Here is an 8,988-nt window from a genome sequence, read left to right on the forward strand (position 1 = left end):
TGCCTCGGCCTCCTGAGTAGCTAAGGGAGGAGTCTTGAGATTATCATCCACGGAGGGTGGAAGAGGAGAGGGTGGAAGGGGAATAAGAAGACACTCCAGTGAAGCACTTGCCTTGCGTGCAAAAATGTAAGGGGGCCTCTCCCTCTCCCTCTCCGTCTCCCTCTCCCTCTCCCTCTCCGTCTCCCTCTCCCTCTCCCTCTCCCTCTCCCTCTCCCTCTCCCTCTCCCTCTCCCTCTCCCTCTCCGTCTCCCTCTCCCTCTCCCTCTCCCTCTCCCTCTCCCTCTCACTCTCCCTCTCACTCTCCCCACGGTCTCCCTCTCATGCGGAGCCGAAGCTGGACTGTACTGCTGCCATCTCGGCTCACTGCAACCTCCGTGCCTGATTCTCCTGCCTCAGCCTGCCGAGTGCCTGCGATTGCAGGCACGCGCCGCCACACCTGACTGGTCTTGGTGGAGACGGGGTTTCGCTGTGTTGGCCGGGCCGGTCTCCAGCCCCTAACCGCGAGTGATCCGCCAGCCTTGGCCTCCCGAGGTGCCAGGATTGCAGACGGAGTCTCGTTCACTCAGTGCTCAATGGTGCCCAGACTGGAGTGCAGTGGCGTGATCGCGGCTCGCTACAACCTACACCTCCCAGCCGCCTGCCTTGGCCTCCCACGGTGCCGAGATTGCAGCCTCTGCCCGGCCGCCACCCCGTCTGGGAAGTGAGGAGCGTCTCTGCCTGGCCGCCCATCGTCTGGGATGTGAGGAGCCTCTCTGCCTGGCTGCCCAGTCTGGAAAGTGAGGAGCGTCTGCGCCCGGCAGCCATCCCATCTAGGAAGTGAGGAGCGCCTCTTCCCAGCCGCCATCACATCTAGGAAGTGAGGAGCGTCTCTGCCCGGCTGCCCATCGTCTGAGATGTGGGGAGCGCCTCTGCCCCGCCGCCCCATCTGGGATGTGAGGAGTGCCTCTGCCCGGCCGAGACCCCGTCTGGGAGGTGAGGAGCGTCTCTGCCCAGCCGCCCCGTCTGAGAAGTGAGGAGACCCTCTGCCTGGCAACCACCCCGTCTGAGAAGTGAGGAGGCCCTCCGCCCGGCAGCTGCCCCGTCTGAGAAGTGAGGAGCCTCTCCGCCCGGCAGCCACCCCATCTGGGAAGTGAGGAGCGTCTCTGCCCGGCAGCCACCCCGTCCGGGAGGGAGGTGGGGGTGGTCAGCCCCTGCCTGGCCAGCTGCCCCATCCGGGAGGGAGGTCGGGGGTCAGCCCCCCGCCCGGCCAGCCGCCCCGTCCGGGAGGTGAGGGGCACCTCTGCCCGGCCACCCCTACTGGGAAGTGAGGAGCCCCTCAGCCTGGCCAGCCGCCCCGTCCGGGAGGGAGGTGGGGGGGTCAGCCCTCCACCCGGCCAGCTGCCCCGTCTGGGAGGTGAGGGGCGCCTCTGCCCGGCTGCCCCTACTGGGAAGTGAGGAGCCCCTCTGCCCGGCCAGCCGCCCCGTCCGGGAGGGAGGTGGGGGGGTCAGCCCTCCGCCCGGCCAGCTGCCCCGTCTGGGAGGTGAGGGGCGCCTCTGCCCGGCTGCCCCTACTGGGAAGTGAGGAGCCCCTTTGCCCGGCCAGCTGCCCAGTCTGGGAGGGAGGTGGGGGGGTCAGCCCCCTGCCCGGCCAGCTGCCCCGTCTGGGAGGTGAGGGGTGCCTCTGCCCGGCCGCCCCTATTGGGAAGTGAGGAGCCCCTCTGCCCGGCCAGCCGCCCCGTCCAGGAGGGAGGTGGGGGGGGTCAGCCCCCCCCGCCCGGCCAGCCGCCCCGTCCGGGAGGTGAGGGGTGCCTCTGCCCGGCCGCCCCTACTGGGAAGTGAGGAGCCCCCCTGCCTGGCCACCACCCCGTCTGGGAGGTGTGCCCAACAGCTCATTGAGAACGGGCCAGGATGACAATGGCGGCTTTGTGGAATAGAAAGGCGGGAAAGGTGGGGAAAAGATTGAGAAATCGGATGGTTGCCGTGTCTGTGTAGAAAGAAGTAGACATGGGAGACTTTTCATTTTGTTCTGCACTAAGAAAAATTCTTCTGCCTTGGGATCCTGTTGATCTGTGACCTTACCCCCAACCCTGTGCTCTCTGAAACATGTGCTGTGTCCACTCAGGGTTAAATGGATTAAGGGCGGTGCAAGATGTGCTTTGTTAAACAGATGCTTGAAGGCAGCATGCTCGTTAAGAGTCATCACCAATCCCTAATCTCAAGTAATCAGGGACACAAACACTGCGGAAGGCCGCAGGGTCCTCTGCCTAGGAAAACCAGAGACCTTTGTTCACTTGTTTATCTGCTGACCTTCCCTCCACTATTGTCCCATGACCCTGCCAAATCCCCCTCTGTGAGAAACACCCAAGAATTATCAATAAAAAGAAAATTAAAAAAAAAAAAAAAAAAAAAACAGGCTACCTACAATTTGTGTTGAAGATATGAATGAATGAAGTTTCCACACCCTTATGTGGAGTTCTGATAAGTAAGCAACAATAAGGAAGGGTCCCCAGGTTGGGGAGACCCCAAGTTGAGAACAATAATGAACAATTATTGTATGAACAATTGTTAGAGACAGCTAATCACAAACAACCTGCGGGCACAATGACCCCATTCCACACGTAGCACCCTTCAGCAGGACCCTATAAAACTCTCCTCCAGCCCTTGCCTCTTTGCAGGTAGCCCCTTCTGTGCTGAGCTGCCCATTGCAACATATTTTCATAATTTCTCTAATAAATCTGCCCTTCTTTACCTACAACTATCTTGGTAAATGGCTTTACCACCTGCAAAACTGACCCTAGGTTGTTGCTACCCGATATGGTTTGGCTGCATCCCCACCCAAATTTCATCTTGAATTGTAGTTCCCATAATCCCCATGTGTCATGGGAGGGACCCGGTAGGAGGTAATCGAATCATGGGGGCAGGTTTTTCCCATACTGTTCTCGTGATAGTGAATACATCTCACTAAATCTGATGGTTTTATAAAGGGCAGTTTCCCTGCACGTGCTCTCTTGCCTGCTGCCATGTAAGACATACCTTTGCTCCTTCTTTGCCTTCCACCATGATTCTGAGGCCTCCCCAGCCTTGTGGAACTGTGAGTACATTAAACCTCTTTTTCTTTATAAATTGCCCAGTTTCGAGTATTTCTTCATAGCAGTATGAAAAGTAACTAATACACTACCTGAGACACCTTAGGAGATTTGTAATAGCTGTAATGCCAGGTCCACCATATTTTTAGCATAAAGCAAATGTTTACCCATGATATGACTGCACAGGCTTTCTTTCAGCTGGAGCCATAGCAACTCAAGTAGTAACCCTATCTTAGTCTGATTAAAAGTAAATATTAGTCTGGGCATGGTGGGACATGCCTGTAATCCCAGTACTTTGGGAGGCTGAGACAGAAGGATTGCTTGAGCCCAGGAGTTTGAGACCAGCCTGGGCAACATGGAAAAACACCGTCTCTACAAAAAATACAAAAATTAGCTGAGTGTAGTGGCACACACCTGTAGTCCCAGCACCTTGGGAGGGTGAGGCAGGAGGATCTCTTGAACCCAGGAGGTGGAGGCCGCAGTGAGCAGTGATCATGTCAGAGGTGTGTGAACCAGAGCAACTCCATCTTAAATAGGAGCTGGGAAAAATGAGGCTGAAACTGCTGGGCTGCATTCCCTGATGGTTAAGGCATTCTAAGTCACAGGATGACATAGAAGGTCAGCACAAAATACCAGTCGTAAAGACCTTGCTGATAAAACAGGTTGCAGTGAAGGAGCTGGCCAAAACCCACCAAAACCAAAATAGTGACAAGAGTGACCTCCCATCATCCTCCCTGCTACATTCCTACAAGCACCATGACAGTTTACAAATGCCATGGCAACATCAAGAAGTTACCCTATATGGTCTAAAAAGAGGAGGCATGAAAAATCCACCCCTTGTTTAGCATATCATCAAGAAATAACCATAAAAATGGGCAACCAGCAGCCCTCACGGCTGCTCTGTCTATGGGGTAGCCATTCTTTTATTCCTTTACTTTCTCTTTTTCTTTTGAGATGGAGTCTCCCTCTGTCACCCAGGCTGGAGTGCAGTGGTGCGATCTCGGCTTTCTACAAGCTTCGCCTCTCGGGTTCATCCCATTCTCCTGCCTCAGCCTCCAGAGTAGCTGGGACTACAGGCGCCCGCAACCACACTTGGCTAATTTTTTTGCATTTTTAGTAGAGACGAGGTTTCACCATGTTAACCAGGATGGTCTTGATCTCCTGACCTCGTGATCCACCTGTCTCGGCCCCCCAAAGTGCTGGGATTACAGGCGTGAGCCACCCCGTGCCCCTCCTCCTTTACTTTCTTAATAAACTTGCTTTCACTTCACACTGTGGCATCACCCTGAATTCTTTCTTGCACAAAATCCAAGAACCCTCTCTTGGGGTCTGGATTGGGACCCCTTTCCTGTAACTATCATGCCACTGCACTCCAGCCTGGGCAACAGAGCAAGGCCCTGTCTCTCAAAAAAAAAAAAAAAAAAAGTAACGTGACTTAATACATTCATTTTGGAGGGTAAGTCTCTCAAAATAGGCCTTTCACTGGGGGAAAATGGTAAAAATACTCCCTGGTAATTCAAGAATTGGAGACTCCTGAGATGCTGCTCATATTAGCTGAACACTTATCAATACTTCACTTTCTTCCATATATACTCAAGGAACAAGTGCTATTTAAAGTGTTTCACTCTGCTGTGCTAGGTGCAAGACTATAAAGAGGTGTGAGGATCAACACTTTTATGAAAACCAATGTCATTCTGAATATAGTTTCAGATGCTAGTGCAAAGGAAGCTCTTGGTATACGGAAAAAGTATTCAACAATAAATTAGGCATGGTTGCTTCCATTTTCTGCCTCACATACCTTTTTTTCATGGTTAAAGTGATATAAAGTCTATGATATTTTAGATTGGCAGTTGCAAACTAGTGGTCCTCAGCGTGCTTTTTATGACACCTACAAGGTTTGAAGACTCTGATTTCATATTAAAAATCTGGGTTTCAGGCTGGGTGTGATGTTGCATGCCTGTAATCCCAGCACTTTGGAAGGCTGAGGCAGGAGAATCGCTTGAACCAGGGAGGTGGAGGTTGCAGTGAGCCAAGATCACGCCACTGCACTCAAGCTTAGGCAATAGAGCAAGACTCCATCTCAAAAAATGAATAAATAAATAAAATCTGGGTTTCAGGCCAGGTGTGGTGGTGCACTCCTGCAATCCCAGCACTTTGGGAGGCTGAGATGGGCAGACAGCTTGAGCTCAGGAATTCCAGACTAGCCTGGGCAACGTGGCAAAACCCCATGTCTACAAATAATACAAAAAAATTAGCTGGGTGTAGTGGAGTGTGCCTGTAATCCCAGCAACGTGGGAGGCTGAAGTGAGAGGACTGCTTGAGCCTGGGAGGTTGAGGTTACAGTGAGCTGAGATCACCCTCCTACACTCCAACCTGGGCAACAGAGCCAGACCTTGTCTTAAAAAAAAAAAAAAAAAAAAAAAAATTCTGGGTTTCTGGCATCTCAAAAAAAAAAAAAAAAAAAGGAAAGGTCAGGGCACATGGCTGCTACAGTCCTCTATTAAGCAATGTGCCACAGCAGGGGTCCCTGACCCCTGGGCCATGGACATGTACTGGTCTGTGGCCTGTTAGGAACTGGGCCACAGAGCAGGAGGTGAATGGTGGGTAACAATTGAAGCTTCGTCTGTATTTCTGGCTGCTCCTCATTGCTTGCATTGCTGCCTGAGCTCTGCCTCCTGTCAGATCAGCAGCATCATTAGATTCTTACAGGAGCATGAACCCTGTTGTGAATTGCACACACGAGGGATCCAGGTTGCATATTCCTTATGAGAATCTAATTCCTGATGATTTGTGGTGGAACAGTTTCATCCCAAGACCATTACCATCCTGCGCCCCATCCCTTGCCGCCTGTGGAAAAATTGTCTTCCACAAAGCCGGTCCCTGGTGCCAAAAATGTTGGGGACTGCTGTGCTTTAGAATCTGCCATGAATCTGCAGCCTCTATTATATAGTTCCCTATAGACTTTGCTTCCTACCGTCTTACGTTCTGCCTTATAGGCATCTCAGTTTGCAACCCTTGTTTTTGTCAGTATGCTACGCTGGTGACATTGACCAAATTGACCACACATTAATGATAAGCTTAGTTGGTGATGACCTCAACGGAATAACGTGACATAAGTATTGTGACAATACTTCTTGCATGTATCTACAGGTGGAATTGTAAACCTGGTGGTCCGAGATGGTCTAATTCGATCTTCCTATGTATCTCCTTATATTAATAGTGGTAACATTTGTGGTGGTGATTCAGCGTTTCAATGCCTCTTCTCACGGCAACAACAAACGTTTTCCTTCTGAATCAACATTAACCTAGATGTTACTGCAGATCAAAATTAGTATCTACATTTTCAACCACAGAAATATTGGGCAGTAAAAATTTTTCTTAATATTGATTGCCTACATAGGTTGTGTAATTAGCATATGTTTATAGTTCTATGATTTGTGCCTGGCTGCTACAGAGCTGGAGGGGGTAAAGCAACAGTGTTTTCTCAGTTGTGTGAGCAGCATTACATTATAATAAATAGGTAATATTAAACTGGGCTGATGAGAGTTGCAAAAGACTACTTTAATGTTCATATGGAACCAAAAAAGAGCCCGCATTGCCAAGACAATCCTAAACCCAATGAACAAAGCTGGAGGCCTCATGCTACCTGACTTCAAACTATACTACAAGGCTACAGTAACCAAAACAGCATGGTACTGGTACCAAAACAGACATATAGACCAATGGAACAGAACAGAGCCCTCAGAAATAATACCACACATCTACAACCATCTGATCTTTGACAAACCTGACAAAAACTAGAAATGTGGAAAGGATTCCCGATTTAATAAATAGTGCTTGGAAAACTGGCTAGCCCTATGTAGAAAGCTGAAACTGGATCCCTTCCTTACACCTTATACAAAAATTAATTCAAGATGGATTAAAGACTTAAATGTTAGACCTAAAGCCGTAAAAACCCTAGAAGAAAACCTAGGCAATACCATTCAGGACATAGGGATGGGCAAGGACTTCATGTCTAAAACACCAAAAGCAATGGCAACAGAAGCCAAAACTGACAAATGGGATCTAATTAAACTAAAGAGCTTCTGCACAGCAAAAGAAACTAGGATCAGTGTGAACAGGCAACCTAGAGAATGGGAGAAAATTTTTGCCATCTACTTATCTGACAAAAGGCTAATATCCAGAATCTACAAAGAACACCAACAAATTTACAAGAAAAAAACAAACCCCATCAAAAAGTGGGCAAAGGATATGAACAGACACTTCTCAAAAGAAGACATTTATGCAGCCAACAGACACATGAAAAAATGCTCATCATCACTGGCCATCAGAGAAATGCAAATCAAAACCACAATGAGATATCATCTCACACCAGTTAGAATGGCGATCATTAAAAAGTCAGGAAACAACAGGTGCTGGAGAGGATGTGGAGAAATAGGAACACTTTTACACTGTTGGTGGGACTGTAAACTGGTTCAACCATTGTGGAAGACAGTGTGGCGATTCCTCAGGGATCCAGAACTAGAAATACCATTTGACCCAGCCATCCCATTACTGGATATATACCCAAAGGATTATAAATCATGCTGCCATAAAGACACATGCACACATATGTTTATCGCGGCACTATTCACGATAGCAAAGACTTGGAACCAACACAAATGTCCATCAATGATAGACTGGATTAAGAAAATGTGGCACATATATACTATGCAGCCATAAAAAAGGATGAGTTCATGTCCTTTGTAGAGACATGGATGAAGCTGGAAACGATCACTCTCAGCAAACTATCACAAGGACAAAAAACCAAACACCGCATGTTCTCACTCACAGATGGGAATTGAACAATGAGAACACTTGGACACAGGAAGGGGAACATCACACACTGGGGCCTCTTTTGTGGTGGGGGAGGGGGAAGGGATAGCAGTAGGAGATACACCTAATGTAAATGACGAGTTAATGGGTGCAGCACACCAACATGGCACATGTGTACATATGTAACAAACCTGCACATTGTGCACATGCACCCTATAACTTAAAGTATAATTTAAAAAAATAAGTAAATAAATAAAAAAAGAAACAATTGCTGGCTTTGCAATTCTCTTTCCTCCAAAATCACCAAGGCCTCAATTTACTCATTGCTGAAAAAGGACGACTGTATATTTTTAAATGAAGAGTGTTGTTTTTACCTAAATCAATCTGGCCTGGTATATGACAACATAAAAAAACTCAAGGATAGAGTCCAAAAACTTGCCAACCAAGCAAATAATTATGCTGAACCCCCTTGGGCACTCTCTTAATTGGATGTCCTGGGTCCTCCCACTTCTTAGTCCTTTAATACCTGTTTTTCTCCTTCTCTTATTCAGACCGTGTGTCTTCTGTTTAGTTTCTCAATTCATACAAAACCATATCCAGGCCATCACCAATAATTCTATATGACAAATGCTCCTTCTAACAACCCCACAGTATCAGCCCTTACCCCAAAATCTTTCTTCAGTTGAATCTCTCCCACTGTAGGTTCCCATGCCGCCCCTAATCCCGCTCGAAGCAGCCCTGAGAAACATCGCCCATTATCTCTCCATATCACCCCCAAAAATTTTCGCCACCCCAACACTTTACCACTATTTTGTTTTATTTTTCTTATTAACATAAGAAGACAGGAATGTCAGGCCTCTGAGTCCAAGCTAAGCCATTAAGCCATCATATCCCAGTGACCTGCATGTATACATCCAGAAGGCCTGAAGCAACTGAAGATCCACAGAAGTGAAAACAGCCTCAACTGAAGACATTCCACCATTGTGATTTGTTTCTGCCCCACCCTAACTGATCAATGTACTTTGTAATCTGCCACACTCTTAAGAAGGTTCTTTATAATCTCCCCCACCCTTAAGAAGTTTCTTTGTAATTCTCCTCACCCTTGAGA

General features: G+C 48.5%; 1 annotated feature.

Moving 5' to 3' along the window:
• Window positions 617–782: a silencer, noted in NCBI's record as "fragment chr16:70238115-70238280 (GRCh37/hg19 assembly coordinates)". NCBI's record gives its function as "represses an EF-1alpha promoter that drives an FKBP-Casp9 reporter gene in an ReSE screen in K562 erythroleukemia cells {active_cell/tissue: K562}" and the evidence as "EXISTENCE:reporter gene assay evidence [ECO:0000049][PMID:32094911]".

This window comes from Homo sapiens, chromosome 16, assembly GCF_000001405.40.
Source record: "Homo sapiens chromosome 16, GRCh38.p14 Primary Assembly".
NCBI lineage: Eukaryota > Metazoa > Chordata > Mammalia > Primates > Hominidae > Homo > Homo sapiens.